The sequence below is a fragment of the Homo sapiens genome, chromosome 14, assembly GCF_000001405.40.
Source record: "Homo sapiens chromosome 14, GRCh38.p14 Primary Assembly".
In the NCBI taxonomy this organism is placed as follows: Eukaryota; Metazoa; Chordata; class Mammalia; order Primates; family Hominidae; genus Homo; species Homo sapiens.
In genome coordinates this window covers 93,372,694-93,397,487 of record NC_000014.9, presented here as the reverse complement: position 1 = coordinate 93,397,487, position 24,794 = coordinate 93,372,694, and the positions used below count along the sequence as shown (strand labels likewise).

General features: G+C 37.6%; 1 protein-coding gene across 2 annotated transcripts in view; it reads right to left on the bottom strand.

Annotated features, from left to right (window-relative positions):
- The window catches only part of UNC79 (unc-79 subunit of NALCN channel complex), a 374,695-nt gene that overhangs the window by 310,389 nt on the left and 39,512 nt on the right, over positions 1-24,794 (bottom strand). The gene's annotated exons all lie outside the window — the stretch shown is intronic.

Genomic DNA, 24,794 nt, shown 5'->3' with positions numbered 1-24,794 from the left:
TTGCAGTGAAAATTAGAAGCTGGAAACCACTGGAGAGGACAGGATCAAGTTGGGGTTTCTTTAAAGCCCTATTCCTAAAGGAATTGCCATTATTCAATCTGTCTGGTAGTTCCCTGGAAGATCTCACTTCCAGAAATTCAGATAAGTTGTCTGAATGTTACCTGACAGGGAGTTTTCCAAAGTGACAATTCAAAAGGGCTTTACCCAGGGCATTTGTCAAAAACAAATAAGTCAACTGTTTAAATTCATACCTGGCTTGTCGGATGGTAGTGGGTTATCAGAACTTATTAACATTAGTGTCACTAAAGTTGGTATATAACCACCTGCTGCTAAATTTGACTGGCTTCTAAAAATAAAATAAAAAATAAACAAATAAATTCATAACTGCCTGATGAGGTGGAAAACAGGACAAACAATGGACTAAGCAAAAAGCTTAAAGGGAAACAATAGAAAACAAGATGTCCTAGGCTTTTTGAAATGTTTTGAAATATTCCTAGGAACCTAGATGACCACACACATATATATGCCTGTGCCCATACTCAGTGGTGACTGACAACATGATAAGAAAATCTGAGAAGGCCCTAAGCTCTCACATCTGGCTTGAGGAATTGCATAAGCAGAAAGTGAGGGCCAAGACAGAGCTGTCAGTTGCTTGGCTGAGAGTTGAAAGCATGCCACAACACACACACACACACACACACACACACACATACACACACATGCCCTTTGCAAAGACTGGGAGATTTATTGGTTCTAGGCAATCAAGAAAGTCTTCATCCAATAATTAGCTGACCACTAAGCTAACCAAGCAGAGACTTCAATAGCCACATAGAATATAGATGTTACAGCAATAATTGAGAAGAGTCACTAAACAAACACACTAAAACAAACAGTAGCAACAAGAAACCCTGAGGTGGGGGAAGAAAATCTGACTTCCAGAACTACTATACTACTTAAAATGTCTAGCTTTCAACAAGAACAATAAAAAGACTATAAGAACAGTAAAAAAATAAGAAAGTATGGGCCATACGTAAGGAAAACAAGCAATCAACAGAAACTGACTCTAAGAAATCCCAGATACTGGACTCACTATACAAAGACTTCAATAATCTATTTTAAATATATTCAAAGAACTAAATCATATCTAAAGGATTAAAGGAAAGTATGAGAATCATGTCTCACTAAATAGAAAATATCAACTTATTGGTTCTAGAAATAGACATTTTAAAGAGATAGACTTTTAAAAAAAAAAACAAAGAGAAAAATTCTGGAGTTGAAAATAACAAAAACTGAAAGGAAAAATCCACAAGACAATCTCAACAGAAGATTTCAGCAGACAGAAAAAAAAAATGAATGAACTTGAAAACAGGTCGATTGAGAGTGTCTAGTCTGTGTAACACAAAAAAAGAAAGAATGAAGAAAAATGAACAGCGCCTCAGACATATGAGACATCAAGCATGCAAACATATGCATAATAAGAGTCCTAGAAGGAGAGGAGCAAGAGAAAGGTACAGAAAGAATATCTGAAGAAATATTTGCCAATAATTTCCCCAAATGGAGACAAAACATTAATCTTCACATCCTCAAACTCCAAGTAGAATAAATTCAAAGATATCCATGCCTAGATATTCAAACTGTCAAAAAACAAAGAAAAAAAGGTTGAAAGCCCAAAAAAAAGAAACAAACCACCATGTATATATGATACTCAATAAGATCAACAGCTGATTTCTCATCAGAAATTGTAGAGACCAGAAATGGTGGGATGACATATTCAAAGTACTAAGAGGAAAAAAACAAAAAACAAACAAAAAAAACACTAATAAATTCTATAGCCAGCAAAACTATTGATATGGTTTGGCTCCATGTCCCCACCCAAATCTCATGTTGAACTGCAATCCTTAATGTTGGGGGCCCTCCCCATCACCTGGTGGATGGTGATGGGATCATGGAGATGGATTTCCCCCTTGCTTTTCTCATGATAGTGAGTTCTCATTAGATCTGGCATGTAACATTTCCCTCTTTGCTCTCTCTCCTGCTCCACCATGGTAAGATGTGCTTGTTCCCCTTTTGCCTTTTGTCATGACTGTGAGTTTCCTGAGGCCTCCCAGCCATGCTTCCTGTACAGCTTATGGAACTGTGAGTCAATTAAACTTCTTTTCTTCATAAATTACCTAGTCTACAATAGTTTTTTATAGCAGTCTGAGAACAAACTAATACAACTATCTTTAAAAATGAAGGCAAATATAAAACATTTCCAGATAAACAAAAACCTAAAGAATTCCTTACTAGTGACCATACTAAAATAAATATTAAAGAGTGTCCTTCAGAATTAAATAAAAGAACCCTAGAGAGTAACTGAAATCGACAAGGAGAAATAAAAAGCACAGAAAAGGTAATTACATAGATAAATATAAAAGACAATAAAAATGTGTTTTTTGTTTGTAACTCTTTCTTTTCTATATAATTTAAAAGACAGGCCAGGTGAAGTGGCTCATGTCTGTAAGCCCAATGCTTTGGGAGGCCAAGACAGAAGGGTTGCTTGAGGCCAGGAGTTGGAGACCAACCTAGGCAAAACAGTGAGACCTTATCTCTACAAAAAAAATTAAAAATTAGCCAGGCATGGTGGCACATGCCTGCAGTCCAAGCTACTCAGGATACTGAGGTGAAAGGATTGCTTGAGCTCAAGAGTTCAACACTGCAGTGAGCTATGATCATGCCACTATACTCCAGCCTGGGTGACAGAATGAGACCCTATCTCTAAAAATAATAAAAACATAAAATGGCCGGGTGCAGTGGCTCACGCCTGTAATCCCAGCACTTTGGGAGGCTGAGGAGGGTGGATCATGGTCAGGAGCTCAAGGCCAGCATGGCCAAGATGGTGAAATCCCATCTCTACTAAAAATACAAAAATTAGCTGGGTGCAGTGGCGGGTGCCTGTAATCCCAGCTACTCAGGAGGCTGAGGCAGGAGAATCGCTTGAACCTGGGAGGCGGAGGTTGCAGTGAGCCGAGATCGCACCACTGCACTCTAGCCTGGGTGACAGAGCAGGACTATGTCTCAAAAAAAATAAATAAGATAAAATAAAATAAAATAAAATAAAATAAAATAAAATAAAATAAAATAAAATAAAATAAAAGACAATTGCATGAAGCAAAAATTAAAAACCTGTGTTGATGCAAGGATAAAATCAGTTAAGAATGTACAGCTCTTAGATGCTGGCACATATGAAAAACTGAATAATGTTAAGTATCATTATTTTTTATTACAATGTGTGTGAAACATCAGTGGGCATAAATGCTTAGCTAAATAAGGCAAATGAAACCTGATGATGAATGGGATAATAGCTGTCGCAGACAAATAGCTTTTATTTCCACCTCAGAACATAGCAAGAATACTGGCAGAAACTGGGAGTTTGAAAGTAGTTATTCATGGGTACTAGGAATTCTGTGTAGAAGACACTGAGCTTGAATGTTTGGTGGAAGATACAGATGTCCTAAAAAAAAAAACCTGACAAAATTGGAATGGAGTTTGAATGGGAGGTAGAACCTGGAAATTATAATCATAAGAGTAATATTTGAGGTTAGGGGACAATAGTAACTCCCCAAATAAAATAGCATACATACAGAATAGCAGAGAACCAAGGATTGAGATTTAAAAGAAATCAAGAATTGAAGAAAGCCAGTTAGCAAATACTTTCTAGGGGGGTGGGAAATATCCAATCACACAGCCAGAAGGAAAAGAATACTTGAATTTCTAATAATGGTATGGCTTTTTAAAAATTGCTTCAATTTTATTGTTCCTATAAAAAGAATATTCTAAGGAAAATGCTGAAATAAAAGATTCTATCCAGTCTACCTAGAAAAGTTTGCATATTCATTGTTCACTTGACTGTGTTTCTGAGGTGTAATTTCACCTAGAAAAATGGCAAGAATACTTATGTAATACTTTAATGTCTTTATTTCTAAATTTCTCTTGACAGCTAAAAATTTTGAAAATAAGCCTATGTCATTTGGCTCAATTTCATAAAGAAGGGAATCCTATTTCCTACATTAATTATGGAGAACTGTAACCTTTAGTCTCAATAAAATATTAATAGATGTCATCAAATATAAGGACCAGCTTCTGAAATGAGCCTTATTTTAATGACTAAGTCTTAGATTAATTCAAGAACCATTTACTGAATCCTACTGCTATGATTTGAATGTCCCCTCCAAACTTTTGTTGGAATTTAACTGCTAATGAAACAGTGTTGACATGCAGGATCTTTGAGCAGCAATTAGAGAATAGAGTATTGCTGTTATTGTGTAAGTGGGTCAGTTTATCACACAACTGGGATCCTGCTAAAAGGATAAATTATTCATCCCCCATTTTCCTCTCTGTCTCACTGGCTCTTGCCCTCTCTCATACCAACTCTCTCACCACAAGATGCCTCTGCCATGTTATGATGCAGCAAGAGGCTCTCACCAGATGTGCTCTCAATCTTGGAATTCCCAGTCTTCAGAATGGTGACCCAAACAAACAATTTTTAAAGGAATTATCACAATTATTTTTATAATTTTACTAATGTTCCATACTATCCCCAAGGCATATATCAATCCTGAGGTCTACTTTAGCCCAAATCCTTTGTAACCTATCACCAATGACAGTCCAAATGCAGTCCTTCATTTCTTCACGAACATATTAGGTGTTATAAACACAGAGTTATCAAGACATCCCAAGAGATTTGGGTAATCACTCATCCACAGTCAATATTTCAAACCGAATTAACAGTCCTGTGTCAGAGAAGATGCCGATTAAGGAACTGAAGGGATATGTGATGAAAATGAAGTAGAAAATGTATCTGAGAACTCCTGTTGGCTATGGGCAGAAAAAAAACACTTCTTTAGCTTGTTTGAATATGTGACCCCTGTCACTAAGTTCCCCATAAAAAAGAATGGACTGAAGAGTCATTGCATAAATATTGAGAAATATGAGGGGAAATCTGTAATTTGATACAAACTACATGTCCATATATAACATATAATTAATGTGTAATAAATTTTTAAGTGTTCATTTCTTTTTTAATCACCTGTACCCTTCCCATAAGTATGTATCCCTAAACACTACACTTTAGTTTTGCTTATTTTTTAACATTAAATAAATAAAAGCACACGGTATATGTTCTTTTGGTCTTGCTTCTGTCCTTCAACATTGTTTCTGAAATTCATCATGTTGTTATATGAAGCTGTCATTTGTTACATTTCATTACTGTACAGTAGTCCTTTGTACAAATATCAAAGACTTCTTTGTCACTTCTTGGTGACACACATTTGAGTTAGTTCAATTTGAAATTACCAAATGTAATGCTACTATATACATTAAGATTCATGTCTCCCATTGCATATGTGGATATATTTCAGTCGAGTACATACTTAGAAATGAAACTGATGGTCACAGGACTGCCTCATCTTCAACTTTACTGTATCATGATAAACTGTTTTCCAAATTGTTGTGCCAATTTACCCTTCTACCAGTTGTTCTACATCTTTGCTCATATGTGAGAGTGCCATCTCTTTAATATAAGCCATTCAGCTAATTGTGTAGCAGCTTCTTTTAGTTTGCAATTCACTGATTACTGAGTTGAGCATTTCTCATGCATTTATTGCACATTTGGATATCCTCTTTGTGAAGTTCCTGCTTAAGTCATTGATCATTTTATATAAATCGTCTTTTTTTAATTAATATGAAGGAATACTTCATGTCATCTAGATACAGGCCTTGGCAGGGCACTGTAACTCACACCTGTAATCTCAGCAATTTGGGAGGCCCAGGTGGGAGGATTACTTGAGGCCAGAAGTTGAAGACCAGCCTGGGCAACACAGCAAGACTCTGTCTCAAAAAAAGAAATTATAGATACAAGGCTTTTGTCAGTTACATATGTTACAAATACTTTCTACCATTCTGTAGCCTACCTTTGTACGCCCTTCAGTTTGTCTTTTGATGAAGAGAAGATCTTAATTTTATTGTCAAATTTGTCAACCATTTTCTATACAGTTAGTGCCTTTTATTTCTGCTTTAAAAAATCTTTCCCTACCCAAAGTCAGGATAATATGCTTCTATTTTATCTAATAAAGCTTCACTGTTTGCCATGCACCTTCATGCCTACAACCCACGTGGAATTGATGTCTGGCTGTGATATGAGATAAAAGTCAAGTTTCTTTTCCTTTTTTTTTCCTTTTCTTTCTTTGTTTCTTTTTATCATATGTATATCCACTTGTCCCATACATTTTATTGAAAAGACTATCCTTAATCTGCTACTGTGCAATGGCACCTTTGTCTAATCAAGTGTTCATATCTTGGCTCTCTTTCTGGACTCTATTTTTTTGTGTCAATCAGTTATATATTTTTGTGCTGATACCACTGTTGTAATTACTGCAGCTTTAGGAAAAAGTCTTGATATATGGAATCCTGCCATATTGCTGCTTTTCTTCAGAAGTGTTTTAGCTATTATTGATCTTTTAATTTTCAAATAAAGTTTAGAATCAGCTTAAGACTCTAAACAAATGCAGGAAACACAGAAAAAATGGAATTTTGTTTGGGATTTTTTTAAATCTACAGATAAATTGAGGAGATAATTTGAAAAGAATGATATCTTTACAACATTAAGTTTTGCAGTCTATGAATCTAATTTCTCCCTTTATTTGGGGCTTCTTTAATTTCCTTCAAGAATGTTCTCCATAGAAGTATAGTATATCTTTTCATAGATTTATTCCAAGAATACTCAAAATTTTTGATGCCACTGTAAATGGTTGCTTTTTATATTTCATTTTACAACTGTATGTGGCTGACATACAGAACTACATCTGTTTTTTGTTTAGTGACCTTGTATCCTACAAACTTGCTAATTTATTAATGCTAATAATATATCTATACCTTCTTTTAAATTTTTCTATATATACACAATCAAGTTACCAGCAAATAGTGACAGTTTATTTACTCATTTCCAATTTGTATTTCTCTTATTTCTTTTCTTACCATCTTGCACTGGCTAGGACTTCCAGTGCAACATTGAAGAAAACTAGAGTAGGCATCCTTGTCCTTTTTCCAATTCCAAAGATAAAGCTTTCAAAATGTCACCAATTAAGAATGATTTTCCTATTGCTTTTCTGTAGAAACCTTTTATCAGGTTGAGGATATTCTCTTATATTATTAATTTGTTGAATGTTTTTATCATGAATATATGTTGACTTTTATCAAATGGTTTGCCACATCTATTGAGATGATCATATGATATTTTTTCTGCTTTAATCTTTTAATGTAGTACATTACATTGATTGATTGTTTCCAGTGTTAAACAAATATTTCATTTCAGGAATAAATCCAACTTAATTCTCACACATTATCTTCTCATAGGTCACTGGATGAAGTTTGCCAGTATTTTGTTCAGAATTTTTTATCTTTGTTCATGAGAGAGATTAACCTATAGTTTCCTTTTCTCATAACATCTATGGCTAGTTTTGGTTTCAAGAGAATTCTAGCCTCATGAAACAAGTGCTCACCGGGCACGGGGGCTCACGCCTGTAACCCTAGCACTTTGGGAGGCCAAGGCGGGCAGATCACCTGAGGTCAGGAATTCAAGACCAGCCTGGCCAACATGGCAAAACCCCATCTCTACTAAAAATACACAAAATTAGCCAGATGTGATGGCATGTGCCTGTAATCCCAGCTACTCAGGAGGCTGAGGCAGGAAAATTGCTTGAACCCAGGAGGCGGAGGTTGCAGTGAGCCAAGATCATGCCATTGCACTCCAGCTTGGGCGGCAGAGTGAGACTCCATCTTAAAAAAAAAAAAAAAAGCTCCCACTTTTCTTGTTTTCTGGAAGAATTTGTATTAGGTTGGTGCTTCTGTGTAAGGCCCTCCCATTTTTTATAATCTTCCCCACAAGTTCTAACACCTTCCACCTCCAAGAACTCCAACCTCTGTCTCCTCAATTCAGCAAAATCACCAGGCTCTGCAATGTTATATGAAAATTGCCTCCAGGAAAATGGAACTGGACAACTGTAGGATTCACCTAGTTTTTTTCTCCTTCTCACAGGGATTACAGTCTGGGACTGCCTGTTGGACAATGCCTCAAAGCAGGGTTTTCATTGTTTTTTCTTTCCAGATTTCTAGTTTTTTAATCATGAGATGAAAAACCATAACCCTGTAGCTCTGTCATGGTCAGAGGTAGAAGTTTACTTTTAATTTTATTTCTGTCATCTTAGGTTTGAGCAACTTGCTTTGGCCTCCCCAATATCATTTCCCCACCTTGTTGGTTACTGCACTCTGATATTGCCTTGAGGAGCCATCCTAACCCCCATTTTATGTTGTCTAAATGTCACTGTTAATCAGTGTCCCCATCCTCCATGACCAGGAAATAATCTCATAACTCAAAACATTCTGAAGATGCTCCCTCTCTCCTGAGAATCTGAAGCCAAATTCATGATACAAGGATAAAAAGTTAAACTGGTCCATTCCAATCAATTCCTAAAGAGATTAGCCATTAATCCTTACACAACATGACTATTAGCTGGTGAATCTTACTGGAAGAAGCCAACCTGGATACATTGGAACACAAAATGATTGATCAATTATTCTCTGAACCTAAAATGTAAATATATATTACTTCCAACTGTTCCACTACAAAGGAAAAAGGAAGAAGATCAAGGTTCCTCCTCAGAAAGAAGTTTAATATTCCTTCAATATCTTACAAAAGAAGTGCCCCCATCCAGACCTGAAAAGACTGGAAAGGAAAAAACTGCTTCCTCCAGGAAAGTGGTCTTTATTTGAAAGTGTTCACTCATAAAACTGACAAAAAAAATGTTAAGCAATGCTATTCATTATTGATGAAGATGCAGAGTAATGGACACCCTCATGCATCACTGGTTGGAATATGAATTGCTGCAACCTCTTCTGGAAACTAATCAGGCAATATCTATTAACATTAAAAGTGCATATACAATTTAGCAGAAATCTTGGATACAAAAATACATTTTTGAGAAATTTATTCTTTACAAATAAAAGCACCAGTGCCAAAAACATATATATACCACTGTTTCTTTCAACTTTGTCTGAAGGAAGAAAGGGAGAAAGAGAGGAAGGAAGGAAAGAAGAAAGGAAGGGTATGCATGTCCATCAAAATAATGACTGAATATATTGTAGTATATTCATGCTATAGAATATTAACTTTTATAGTCGGGTGTGGTGGTATGTGCCTGTAGTCCCACCTACCAGGGAGGCTTAGCCAGAAGGATCGCTTGAGCCCAAGAGTTCCAGGCTGTAATGAGCCAAGATTGCACCATTGCACTCTGGCCTGGGTGACAGGGCAAGACTCCAACTCGAAAAAAAAAAAAGAATATTAACTTTTGAAAAGAATGAGCTGGCCATGTGCAGTGCATGGCTCATGCCTATAATCCTAGACCGAGGTAGCTATACTTAAACAAAATAGATGTCAAGACAAAAACTATCAGAAGAGACAAAGAAGGTCACTACGTAATAAGAAAGGGGGCAATTCAGCAAGAGGATATAACAATTGTAAATACATATGCACCCAATAATGGGGCACCCAGATATATAAAGTAAATATCAGAGCTAAAGAGTTAGACTCCAATACAATAATAGCTGGAGACTTCAATATCCTATTTTAAGTACTGAACAGATCTTCCAGACGAAATCAACAAAGAAACATTGTACTTAATCTGCACTATAGAACAAATGGAGCTAATAGAGATTTACAGAACATTTCATGCAACGACTGCAGAATAGACATTCTTTTCTTCAGCATATGGATCATTCTCAAGGAAGGACCATGTGTTAGTTCACAAAATAAGTCTTAAAACATTCAAAAAACTGAAATAATATCAAGCATCTTCTCTGACCACAATGAAATAAAACTACAAATGAATAACGAGAGGAACTTCGGACACTGTTCAAACACATGGAAATTAAGCAACATGCTACTGAATGACCAGTGGGTCAATGAAGAAAGTAAGAAGAAAATTTAGAAATTTGATGAAACAAATGCTAATGGCAACATAGCATACCAAAACCTAAGAAATACAGCAAAAGCAGAACTAAGAAGGAAGTTTATAACTATACATGTTTACATTGAAAAAGAAAAAAAAATTCAAAAAAACCACCTAATGATACACCTTAAAGAACTAGAAAGGCAACAACAAACCAAACCAAAAATTAATAGAAGAAAGAAACAATAAAGATCAGAGCAGAGGCTGGGCTCAGTGGCACACGCCTAAAATCCCAGCACTTTGGGAGGCCGAGGCGGGTGGATCACCTGAGGTCAGGAGTTTGCGACCAGCCTGACTAACATGGTGAAACCCCGTCTCTACTAAATACAAAAAAATTAGCTGGGCATGGTGGCACATGCCTGTAATCTGAGCTACTTGGGAGGCTGAGACAGGAGAATCGATTGTACCTGAGAGGCGGAGGTTGCAGTGAACCAAGATCATGCCATTGCACTCCAGCCTGGGCAAGAAGAGCAAAACTCCGTCTCAAAAAAAAAAAAAAAAAAAAAAAAAAAAAAAAGCAGAAATACATGAAATTGAAATGAATGAAACAATACAAAAGATCAATGAAACAAAAACTTGGTTTTTTAAAAAGATAAACAAGAGTGACAAACCTTTAGCCACACTAAGAAAAAAAGAGAGAAGACCCAAATAAATAAAATTGGAGATGAAAAAGGAGGCACTGTAACTAATACCAAAGGAATTAAATTGGAAAATCTGGAAGAAATGGATAAATTCCCAGACACATACAACCTATCAAGATTGAACCACGAAGAAATTCAAAACCTGAACATACCAATAATAAGTTATGAGAATGAAGCCATAATAGTCTCCCATCAAAGAAAATGCCAGGACCCAAAGGCTTCACTGCTGAATTCTAACAAACATTTAAAGAAGAACTAATACCAATCCTACTCAAACTATGTGGAAAAATAGAGGAGAGATTACTTCCAAATGTATTCTATGAGGCCAATATTACACTGACATCAAAACCAGACAAAGACACATCAAAAATAGAAAACAATAGGCCAGTATCACTGATACATATTGATGCAAAAATCTCAACAAAATGCTAGCAAACCAAATTCAACAGCACATTAAAAAGATCATTCATCATGACCAAGTGGGATTTAACCCAGGGATGCAACCATGGTTCAGCATATGCAAATCAATCAATATGATACATCATATGAACAGAATGAAGGACAAAAACAATATGATCATTTCAATTGATGCTTAAAAGACATTTGATAAAATTCAACACCACTTAGTTATAAAAACCCAAAAAAACTGGGTATAGAAGGAACATATCTCAATATAATAAAAGCCATATATGATAGACCCACAGCTAGTATCACACTGAATAGGGAAAAACTGAAAGCCTTTCCCCTAAGATCTGAAAACAAGAAGGATGCCCACTGTCATCACTGTTATTCAACAAAGTGCTAAAAGTTATAGTTAGAGCAATCAGACAAGAGAAAGAAATAAAGGGCATCCAAGTTGGAAAGGAAGAGGTCAAATCATCCTTGTTTGCAGATGATATGATCTTATATTTGGAAAAACCTAAAGACTCCACCAAAAAGTTATCAGGACTGATAAACAAATTCAGTAAAGCTGCAGCATACAAAATCAACATACAAAAATCAATAGTATCTTTTTTTTTTTTTTTTGGGGACAGTCTTGCTCCATCACCCAGGCTGGAGTGCAGTGGTGCAAACACTGCTCACTGCAACCTCCACCTCCTGGGTTCAAGCAATTCTCCTGCCTCAGCCTACCAAGTAGCTGGGATTACAGGTGTGCACCAACACGCCTGGCTAATTTTTGTATTTTTAGTAGAGATGAGGTTTCACCATGTTGGCCAGGCTGGTCTCGAATGCCTGGCCTCAAGTGATCCGCCCACCTCGGCCTCCCAAAGTGCTGGGATTACAGGCGTGAGTCACTGTGCCTGGCCTCAGCAGCATTTTTATATGTCAATAGTGAAAAATCTGAAAAAGAAATCAAGAAAGTAATCCTATTTACAATAGCTATGAATAAGATAAAATAGGAATTAATTTTTGAAAGAAATGAAAGATCTCTACAATGAAAACTATAAAACAGTGATGTACAAAATTAAAGAAGACACCAAAAAATAGAAAGAGATTTCATGTTTATGGATTGGAAGAATCAATATTGTTAAAATGTCTGTACTACCCAATGCAATCTACAGATTCAATGCAATCCCTATCAAAATACCAATGATAGTCTTCACAGAAATAGAAAAAACAATTCTAAAATTTATATGGAACCATAAAAGAATAGCCAAAGCTATCCTAAGCAAAAACAAAACTGAAGGAATCACATTACCTGACTTATACACTACAGAGCTATAGTAACCAAAGTGGCATGGTACTGGCATAAAAAGAGACATGTAGACCAGTGGAATAGAAGAGAGAACCTAGAGATAAATTCATACATCTACAATGAACTCATTTTTGACAAAGGTGCCAAGAACATACATTGGGGAAAAGGCAGTCTCTTCAATAAATGGTGCTTGGAGAAATGGATATCCACATGCAAGAGAATGAAACTAGACTCCTACTTCTTACCATACACAAAAATCAAATCAAAATAAACTCAGGACTTAAATCTAAGACCTCAAACTATGAAACTACTAAGAGAAAACATTAGAGAAACTCTCTAGGACATTAAGTGATGTCCCACAGGCACAGGCAACCAAGGCAAAAATGGACAAATGAGATCACATCAAGTTAAAAAGCTTCTGCACAGCAAAGGACACAATCAACAAAGCAAAGAGACAACCCACAGAATGGGAGAAAATATTTGCAAACTACTCATTTGACAAGGGATTCAGAGCCAGAATATATAATGAGTTCAAACAACTCTATAGGAAAAACATCTAATAATCCAATTTAAAATGGGCAAAAGATCTGAATAGACATTTCTCCAAAGAAAACATACAAATGGTAAACAGGAGTATTGAAAAGGTGCTCAACGTCACTGATCATCAGAGAAATGCAAATCAAAACTACAATGAGCTATTATCTCACCCCAGTTAAAATGGCTTCTATCCAAAAGTTAGACAATAACAAATGCTGGAGAGGATGTGGAGAAAAGGGAACCCTTGTACACTGTTGGTGGGAATGTAAATTAGTACAACCACTATGGAGAACAGTTTGGAGGTTCCTCAAAAAACTAAAAACAGAGCTACCATTTGATCCAGCAATCCCACTCCTTAGGTATATACCCAAAAGAAAGGAAACAAGTAAATCTAAGAGATATCTGCACTCCCATGTTATTGCAGCACTATTCATAAGATCCATTTGGAAGCAACCTAAGGGTCCATCAACAGATGAGAGATTGTATTAGTCCATTTTCATGCTGCTGATAAATGCATACCCAAGACTGGGCAATTTACAAAAGAAAGAGGTTTATTGGACTTACAGTTCCACATGGCTGGGGAGGCCTCACAATCATGGCAGAAGGTAAAAGGCAAGGAGGAGCAAGTCACATCTTACATGGATGGTGGCAGACAGAGTTTGTGCAGGGAAACTCATGTTTTTTGAAACCATCAGATCTCATGAGACTCATTCACTATCATGAGAACAGCACAGGAAGGACCCAGCCCCGTAATTCAATCACCTCCCACTGAGTTCCTCCCATGACACATGGGAATTGTGCGTGTTACAATTCTAGATGAGATTTCGGTGGGGACACAGGTGTGAGCCACCGTGCCCAGCCTAAGTTTTTTTTAAGTACTTGCCACAGCCAACCCAGCCTTCTGCAACCACCACCCTGATTAGTCAGCAGTCATCAACATCAAGGCAACACCAGCAGAGAGTACACCTTGCTGTAGGTTCATATGATCATTCATATTATTTAGCAATAAAGTATTTTTAAATTAAGATATGCATATTGTTTTTTAGACATAATGCTATTGTGCAGTTAACAGACTATCGCATAGCGTAAACCTACCTTTCATATGTACTGGAAAGCCAAAAAATGTATGTGACTCATTTTATTGCTATATTTGCTTTATTGCAAGGGTCTGGAATGGAACCCACAATACCTTCAGGGTATGCCTGTAGATTATTAGACAACATTTTTTCTACTTGTCTTCCCTACCCACCCATAACCATTTTCTTCAACAACCCCAGCTCCCACTTCTCCCCATCTTCTTCTGAAGAAAGAAAATGAAAACTACACTTCAGGTGCAAAGTAGGCCATGGTGAATGCTAAGCTGAGAATGAACCCACAATCTCTCTCACAAAATTATATGACCATGAGAAAGACCCAAAACGGTCCCAGTATATGAAAGTTAATTCCTCTAAGACGTCTTTCAAGACCAGTTCAAATGACACACCCTCCATAAAGGAAGAGGTTCTACTTGATTTTCTATCCCAGCTAAATATTCTTTCTTTAGCCTTTCAGATAATAAGCCATTTTATTCCCATTCTTTTATAATATTTATCATATTCTATCTTAAATTCTAAAATAAAACTGGGAGATTAGACATTCTACCTTGTCTAGTCTGCTATTTTATTTTAGGTTAGTGACAGACTTTTTGTATCCTCATGGAGTGTAAAGTATTTTGGTACATGCATTAGATCAATCAGTATTTAATATTGATGCGGCAGTGGTAACTCTTCTTACTAACTGATGAGGAGGAAGATAAAATGGATGGAATCTGGAATCAGAACACATGGATTCCAGAACCGACTCTACCACTCACTAAATATGGACCTTGGGCAAGTCATTTAACCTCTCAGAGCCTCAATTTCTTCATCTGCATCTGCATCTGTCTTACTCATTTTTATATCTTCAGGTGCTGGGCACCAAGAAGGTACTCATTAAATACTGAGTAAATGAATAAAAAAATTATGCAAAAATAGTATGCAAACTATTAACGATTGGCATGCAATTTATTAAGCCCTATTTTGTAGGGACTATACATATATTCCTGAGGAAGGGAAGGAATATAATAATAATCTTCCTCTGGAATATATACACAGTCCTTTCTGCCATGTAAGGTAACATCTTGACATCTTGACAGGTCCTGAAGATTCAGACCTGGACATCTTTGGGGAGTGGGAAGGCAAGCATGATTTTGTCTACCACATACTCTTACACATTCAGAATAAGAAAATAGTGTTCTTTTCTTCTCAAAGCTGCTCTGAAGTTCATTTTTAAAACCAAGGCATGGAACAGGGTGGGTGGAAATATCTCAGGCAATTTGCAGCCTCCTGAGATATGTGGGTTACACTTGGCCAGTAATAAATCTCCCCATCAGAGGCACATCTATTACATACCTTGTATTATTAGGAACCAGAAGATAAATAGATACAGATACAGACACTGAATTCTGAATTCGGAAATTAATAATATGTCCAGTTCAGGGAATTTTTAAAATATCTTAACTTCATTTAAAGTTTCTCCTTTCCTCCAGAAAGGCAGCATGGTTGGTCTTTTTAGTTTCCAGCTTAGCTTGTCTATTCCTCCTCCCTTACTAGTTCACACTTGGCTTTCCTAAGACTGAAAGCTTGAGGGAGGGCCAGGCTGATAAGAGTCAAGGTGAAAGAAAGGTCTTATTTGACTCATACTCTTTTGTAAATCTACCTCTAAAGCTCTCTGACCATGGCAAGTGTTTAAAGCTGACACTTCCTCTAGAGGACACTTTTGTCTTTCTTTGAAGTTCATACACCAGCAGTTCCCGTGACACATGCAAATATATCTCTTCTGGAATGTTCTCCTAGCATTCTACTCTTAGGAATCTGGGAGTATACCTCCTCTTCTTCCCACTGAAGTATTCTCAACTCTCTAGATGATGTTTTTAGGCAGACTCTTAAGACAATCCCATCTGTCTCTTCCTCTTGCTCCAGAAGCCCTCATCTGGCCTACCAGTAGCACGCTTCTTGAGCACTATTGGTGGGAATGTTGCTATTTTCCAAACCCAGCTCACTCTTCATCAAAAGCCCTGACAGGGCAGCTCCAGACACAGCCTGTCATCCTCTGGATGATTCAGCTGCATGAACCCCAAACCCTAGGACACATACATGAAGCTCCATGAGTGATTCCATTAAAGTTCCTCTCACTAGCCTTTAAATGAGGGAAAAGCACCCACACTCCTTCTGGGGGGAGTCACAACCCCAACATCCGTCATCAGATAATCCCATGATATTCCTAACAATACCTCTGGGCTTCTCTAATTTCTTTTATAGGCTAGAAGTAGTTCGTCAGCTAAAGATTACAAAACCAGCTTCCCTTTCAAATCTGCTTCATGATCTTCCATCTCACTTTAGAACTGGAACTAGTTAGTACCTTTATCTTGGGGTCTGGGCCAAAACTGAGGCAACATAATCAAACCATAACATTCCATTCCATGTATTTGTTTTTACAAAATTAATGTATTTCCTCTACTAAGAATAAAATTCCATATGGGACACATCCGTTTTGTTTATCACTGACTATCTAAAGCACTCAATAAATACTTACTAAATGACTGACAAATACTAACAAATCAGCAAAACTCCCTGGCTCTCAAAAACTCAGAAACTATATTAATTTCATACATTTGTATGCTATTTTCAGATTCCTCCAGAATATCTCTGCAGTGTGGCTATATATTACAATTTTGGCAAAAACATGAGTATAAGAGTCACCAGAAAAATCTATACACTGAATATAAAGTAAAACATTAAACAAGCATCTTTCATTCAATCCAACAAATATTGATTGAGTACCTTCTATATACCACAGACCACGCCAGGTACTAGTGTACAGTGATGAACAAAACAGCCAACATCTGGCCTTCATGGAGCTTATAGTCTAACAGGGGATGCACACAAACAAAGCTCTTACTGCAAAAGTTCAATTTCACATAAATATGGTGAAGAATATGCATAGGGTGTACTCATAGAAAATAAAAGAAGGAAGCAAGGAGACCACCTTAGAGTGGTCAAAGGGGATTTCTCCAAGCAAATGACATTTAAACTGAGACCTGAAGATAAGCAGTAGCCCTGTAGGATGTGGGAGGGGAGTGGAGAAGTCTCCCCGAGCAAAGGCTCTGACATGACCCTTAATCTGGGGAGGAAAGTGGGATGGGAAATGGGGGAAGGCAGTCTTCATACTTTTTACTACATATATGATCTTCATTTTTTACAACAAACATATATTAATGTGTCATTTTATAATGAAAAAATGTTTACTCTGACTTTGGAATTGAATATTATATCTTGGTTCAAATTTTTCCTGAACCTGGAGATAGAAAAATGTCATCCTCCCCCTCCTACTCTACCCATCCCACCAATAAGGAGAGCAAATCTGACATATGCATCTACTACGTGCCAGCTTCCTTACTTATGTTGTGTCTTTAATCCTCAGATCAACCCTGTGAAGTTAAATTGAGGAAGAGAGAAGTGAAGTAATTTTCCCAGACTCACAATACTATGAGGTGGCAGAGCTGGGACTGAAATTCTGGTCTGTACAAACTCTTGCTCATGAAATTTAAAATGCAAAGTGACATCAATATTTGAGAAGCCCTGAATCCAATGGGAAGTCTAATATCTTGCAAATTTTTTTATTATTTTTATTTTATTTCAATAGCTTTTGGGGAACAGATGGGTTTTGGTTACATGGAAAAGTTCTTTAGTAGTGATTTCTGAGATTTTGGTGCACCCGTCACCCAAGCAGTGTACACTGTACCCAATGTGTAGTCTTTTATCCCTCACCCCCCTCCCACCCTCCCCCTGCAGTCCCCAAAGTCCATTATATCATTCTTATTGCATTCAGGTTTCCAAAATGTACTTCTGCAAATTAGAATCCCAAGCAGCCACAACAATTGGTTTAATGGGTGATTTTAAATATGAATTGTATATTAAGGTAGGTAGAAATCATAGTGAAGAAATCTTGCAGTTTATTAAAGTCTGAAATATACCAAACGAGGTGTATGATAAATGTCTGCAGGATGTAAGGTGATACTTGGGCTTAAAGTCATGAAACCTTTAATATTTATGGCCAACTACAGAAATCTCCCTAATTTGCCAACCTCAAAAAAGTTTACTAGCCTGTTCATATTTACCAAATCCTGCTTAATTACAGATGATGACTTTTTTGGTTATCTATAGCCTGTGCAAACTCTCTCTCAACCTCCACCAGTTTGTAAGTCTAGCTGTTTTTGTTTGGCTCTTTGGGAAACTAACAAAGACATATTCTCTGTAGTTCAAGTAAAAGATGTTGATAAAGATTATACCTGGAGTAATAAGAGGAATATCATAGATATTCACAAACAGAAGCCCAAGTACAGGTGTGAGCTGGAAGTAGTTGCAGATTTAAAGCAGAGATCAATCACAGCAGTGGAAATTCATGAATCCCCACTCTTTTGCTCAGCTGTTAACTTGACTCTCTTATACTCTTTTGCTCCTCCTGATCCAGACTTTGCTACTTTCTCATAGTGCCAGCTCTGTCTAAAGTTGGCTTCCATAGGACCTCGTGTAGCCTTTCCAGCTACTCCACATTCTGGCCTTTTGAGTCTCATCTTCTATTGTTTGTTATATAGTGCTACCATGTATCTAAGTTTTCGCTTTTTCTTAAATACATCACACTGAAAGAAGAGACATAATTCTGGCAACCACTTTGATTTCATAAGTAGCATATGCTACTACAGGTTGAGCTTCTGTAATCTGAAAATCCAAAATCCAACATGCTCCAAAATTTAAAATTTTTTGAGTACCAACATGATGCCACAAGTGGAAAATTCCACACCTGACCTCATGTGATGGGCTGCAATTAAAATAGAGCTACAATTTTGTTTCATGCATAAAATTATTTGAAATATTGTATAGAATTACCTTCAGGCTATCTGTATATGGTTCATATGAAACATAAATGAATTTAGTGTTTAGACTTAGATCCTATCTCCAAGATATCTCATTATGTATATGGTGATATTCCAAAATCTGAAAAAAAAACAAAATCTGAAACACTTCTGGTCCTAAGCATTTCAGATAAGGGATACTAAACGTGTACCACTAACAAGGCTGTATCATTCACTTTATAGTCTCTAATCCCAAGTAGGAAGTTCCCCAAAGGTTAAAATTTACAACTTTTGTCTTCCTGAACTGAAAATTCTTATAATCACCTAAAGATACAGTGAGAATGCCAATCCTCAAGAAGTCAATACAGGTCTCTGGGCAAGTGTGTTCCCACCTTTCCATGTGAGCTGAAGCTGAGAAGTATTATCTTGTCCCTGCAGGGAAGCTGTGGTAAGGAGGACAAAAGCATTTGGGAAATACTCCTTTATATCTCCAGAGCTTAAGCATGACAGTAAACAGTCATCAAAGAATCAAAATTGGTTGACAGTCCTAATCCCGTGGCTTATTTTCTATCCCTAACTCATTTACCAATAGGCTTATTTTTAGTGATTTCTAAAACAAGTGTTAAGTCTGGATACCTGATTATTACCTCAAATATTTTCCAACTTCTTAAACTGTTTAAACACTAAAATGTATTTCGTTGTTGTCTACCAGTAAAAACAGACCACACGGCAGGGATCCTCCTGCTATGAAAGCTGTATGTAATTCTCTGCTGGGAGTGGGTAAGAATTAGGGGAATTGTTCTGGTGGTCTTTCATACTGCAGTGGGAGCATTCTGATGGTCAATACACATCTTCGTGCAATAATATTTTATTGGGACAAGATGGGTGGTAGGATTATGAGTAGATTACCCCTTTCCAAAACCACATTGGCTGTTATCCCACCCAATATACATTGGATTCCACTACAGCTATAAGCAGTTCCGTTATAGGATTTCAAAATGTGTCCTAAATGTAGAGTTTGAGAGATTGAGAGTTGTGCTCCTTTATAGTTCATTCTCCCCTTTATATAACACAACATTTGCAAGACCTCACTGGTTGAGCCTTCAGATTGTATCCCGGTAATCACTATTTTATTTTCCAACTCTTGCCTTCTCTCCTATACTTTTCCTCTTCCCCTTGTGGTTGCTCTTTTGAAGCCCTCAACCCTCAGTACATCACCGTTTTCTTTAAGAAACAACTATTCTCGGCCAGGCACAGTGGCTCACACCTGTAATCCCAGCACTTTGGGAGGCCGAGGCGGGTGGATCACGAGGTTAGGAGATCAAGACCATCCTGGCTAACATGGTGAAACCCCATCTCTACTAAAAATGCAAAAACAAAAATTAGCCAGGCATGGTGGCGGGCGCCTGTAGTCCCAGCTACTCGGGAGGCTGAGGCAGGAGAATGGCGTGAACCTGGGAAGTGGAGATTGCAGATAGCGCCACTGCACTCCAGCCTGGGTGACAGAGCGAGACTCCATCTCAAAAAAAAAAAAAAAAAAAAGAAACAACTATTCTCATTGCACTTCTTTCTTGAATCTTGCAAACTGCACTGCTTCGGGTGCAGCTAAATGCAGTCAGTGAAGTCTGTCTACTCCTTCACTGATCCCTCAAAGGGAAAAGGAGAACTCTTGTCATTTGCATCCTTGCATATATGTACATAGGTGAGTGCATGAGAGAAAGCTATAATATATATAACATATAATATATATTTTATATATTTTATATATTTTTATATATAATTAAATTAAGCAAAAAGCCATTGATTGACCTGAGGCAACCTAACTTTGTATACAAACAAACTGAATTCCAACCTAGGAGTATATTTTTTGTAACAAATAGCTGAGATTCAGCCAATCACAAAAACCGAATTTATCACACTATACCCAAACAAGGCAAAAACCTAGCTGGAGCCAACCAGATGATTTCTCTGCTTTCTATAATAGCTAACTGCTCATGCTGCTGGTTGGAGCTCTCTGAACCTCTTCTGGTTCCAAGTGCTGCTCAATTCATGAACTGTTCTTTGCTCAAATAAACTCTTAAATTCCAACTGTCTAAAGTTTTAGCAATATAACACATACACACACACATAGCTATATGTGTATATGTGTATAGGATATAGATACATATAAATATACGGTTTGCCCCTGTGATTTTTTTTTCTTCTTTAGAAGACCACCAGTTCTATTCTACCCTGGAACGCATTAGTAAATAATGCTCATTTTCCTGAAGACTGTAAGGAAAGATTAGAGAAAGATTTTATATCACCACACAGCATTTGAAAAAATTTAAATCTCTATAAGATAGTTCTGTTCTTCCCCAAAATCTCTCTAGTTCCCTCAACACTCTTTTCTATCAATACATATTAAGTGCCTCTGGTTATCTATTGTTGCATAACAAACTAGCCTAAAACTTAGAAACTTAAACACCTTGTTATAATTCATGTCTTAGTCCATTTTCTATTGCTTATTAACAGAATACCTCAAACTGGCTAATTTATAAGAAAAGAAATTTATTTCTTACAGTTATGGAGGCTGAGAAGCCCCAGGTCAAAAGGTCACAACTGGTGAGAGCCTTCTTGCTGGTGGGGACTTTCTGCAGAGTCCCAAGGTGGCACAGGGAATCACGTGGTGAAGGGCCTAACATGCTAGCTCAGGTCTCGCTTCCTCTTTTTATAAGGCCACCAGTCCCACTCCCGATGACTCATTGATATGGTTTGATCTGTATTCCCGCCCAAATCTCATGTCAAATTGTAATCCCCAATGTTGAAGGTGGTGCCTGGTGGGAGATGATTGGATCATGGGGGTAATCCGTCATGAATGGTTTAGTGCCATCCCCTTGGTGCTGTTCCCGTGATAGAGCTCTCATGACATCTGGTCATTTAGAAGTATGCAGCACCTCCCCACTCTCTCTTGCTCCTGCTCCCACCATATGAGATGTCTTGCTCCCCCTTTGCCTTCCACCATGACTGGAAGTTTCCTGAGGCCTCCCCAGAAGCAGAAGCCACTTTGCTTCCTGTACAGCCTGCAGAACTGTGAGCCAATTAAACCTCTTTTCTTTATAAATTACCCAGTCTCAGGTATTTCTTTACAGCAATGTGAGAATGGACTAATACACCTATTAATCCATTAACCCATTAATCTACTAATCCATGGGTGGATTAATCCATACATGAAGGCAGAAGCCCAATGACTCAATCACCTTTTTAAATTTGTTTTTGAGACAGGGTCTTACTCTGTCACTCAGGCTGGAGTGCAGCAGTGCAATCACAGCTCACTGCAGCCTTGACCTCTTGGGCTCAGGTGATCCTCCTACCTCAGCCTCCTGAGTAGCTGGGACTACAGGCACCACCACCATGACCCGCTAATTTTTGTATTCTTTGTAGAGACAGGGTTTTGCAATGTTGCCCAGGCTGGTATTTAACTCCTGGACTCAACTGATCCTCCTGCCTTAGCATCCCAAAGTGTCAGCCACTGCACCCAGCCTCAACCATCTCTTAAAGGACTCACTTCTCAATATTCCCACAATGGGAATTAAATTGCAACATGAGTTTTGGAGGGAAAAAATATCTAAGTCATAGCATTCCACCCCTGACCCCCCAAAACTCATGTCCTTTTCATATACAAATACATTCATTCCTTCTCCATAGCCCCAAAGCTTTAACTCCAACACCAACTCAAAACTCCAAAGTCCAAAGTCTCATCTGTGAGCATGTGAAATTAAAGCAACTTTTCTACTTTCAAGATACAATGGAGGCCGAGTATGGTGGCTCACACCCGTAATCCCATCACTTTGGAAGGCCAAGGCAGAAGGATCACTTGAACCCAGGAGTTTGAGACCAGCTTGCATAACGTAGTTAGACCCTGTCTCTATAAAAAATAATATTTTTTAAAAATTAGCCAGTTGTGGTGGCACTCAACTGTAATCCCAGCTACTCAGGAGGCTGAGGTGGGAGGATCGCTTGAGCCCAGGAGGTCAAGACTGCAGTGAGCCATGATCATGCCATTGTACGCCTTCCTAAGTGACAAAGTGAGGCCCTGTCTCAAAAAAAGTGACTTTAAAAAAGAAAGAAAGAACGCTACAATGGTGGTACAGGAATAAGACAGACATTTGCATTCCAAAAGAGAAAAGTAGGCAAAGAAAAGAGTATCAGGCCCCAAGCAAGTCGGAAACCCAGCAGGGTAAACATTAAACCTTAAAGCTGAAGAATAATTGCTTTTGACTCCATGTTCTACCTACTGAACACACTGGGGCAAGGTTGAGCCCCCAATGCCTCAGGTAACTCTACCCCTATGGCTTTGCTGGGTGCAACCCACATAGCTGCTTGTATGGATTGAAGTCCAGTGCCTGAAACTTTCCCAGGTGGATGTTGCATGTTGCCGGTGACTCCATAGTTCCAGGGTCCTGGAAGCGGTCCTGCTTCCACAGTTCCACTTAGGCATTACCCTGGTGGGAACTTTCTGCCGCAGCCCCAGACCCACATTTCTGCTCAGCATTGCTCTAGTGGGGCTCTCTGTGGTAGCACCATACCTGTGACAAGTCTATGCTTGGGGCCCCAGGCTTTCAGTGACATCTTTTGAAATCTGGGTGGAGGTTGCCAAGCCTCCACCGCTTTTGATTTTTTCAAGCCTGCAGAATTAGCACCATGTGGATGCAACTAAGGCATACCTGGGATAAATCCCACTTAGTCATAGTGTATGATGTTTTTAAATACACATCACTGGGTTTGAATTACTAATATCGTGTTGCAGTTTTTTGCATCTATGTTGATGAGAGATACTGGGTTGTAGTTTTTTTCTTTTCTTATAATGTTTTTGTCTGGCTTTATTAGGTAATGCTGGCCTTGCAGAATGTGTTAGAAAGTATTTATCCTTCTTCTATCTTCTGGAAAACATTGTCAAGAATTGGTATGATTTCTTCCTAAAATGTTTGGTAGAATTCACCTGTGAAGACATCTGGGCTTGGTGTTTTCTATTTTGCAGGTTAATTATTTATTGATTCAACTTCTTTGATACATATCAGCCTATTCAGATTATCTAGTTCTTTTTGTTTGAGTTTTGGCAGACTGTCTTCCAAGGAATTAGGTTGTGCACACTATTCCTTTATTATCCTTTTAATGTCCATAAGATCTGTAGTGATGTTCCCTTTTTCACTTCTGATATTAGTAATTTGTGTCCTCTCTCTTTTTTTTTTCTCAGATAGCCTGGCTAGAGGTTTATCTACTGTATTAAACTTTACTAGGAACCAGCTTTTGGTTTTGTTGACTTTATTAATTTCCTGTTTCAATTTCATTGACTTCTGCTCTAATCATTATTATTTGTTTTCTTCAGGTTACTTGGATTTAATTTGCTCTTCTAGTTTTCTAAGGTGGAAGCTTAGATGATTAGTCTTCTCTTCTAACATATGTACTCAATGCTATAAAATTTCCTGTAAGCTCTACTTTTGTGCATCCCACAAATTTCAATAAGTTGTTCTCATTTTCATTAGCTCAAAATATACTTTAATTTCTCTTGAGATTTCCTCTTTGACTCATGTGTTATTTAGAAGTGTGTTGTTTCCTCTCCAAGTACTTTGAAATTTTCCAACTATCTTTCTGTTATTGTATTCTGGTTTCGTTTCATTGTGATCTGAGAGCAAACATTGTATGATTTCTATCCTTTTGAACTTGTTAACATGTGTTTTATGGCCCAGAATGTGCTATATCTTAGTGAATGTCCCTTGTGACCTTGAGAAGAACATGTACTCTGCTGTTGTTGGATAAGGTAGTCTATAGATGACCATTACATCCAGTTGATTGATGGTGTTGTTGAGTTCAACTATGGCCTTACTGATTTTTTACCTGCTGGATCTGTCCATTTTAAGAAGGGTATTGAAGTCTCCAAATATAATAACTGATTCATCCATTTG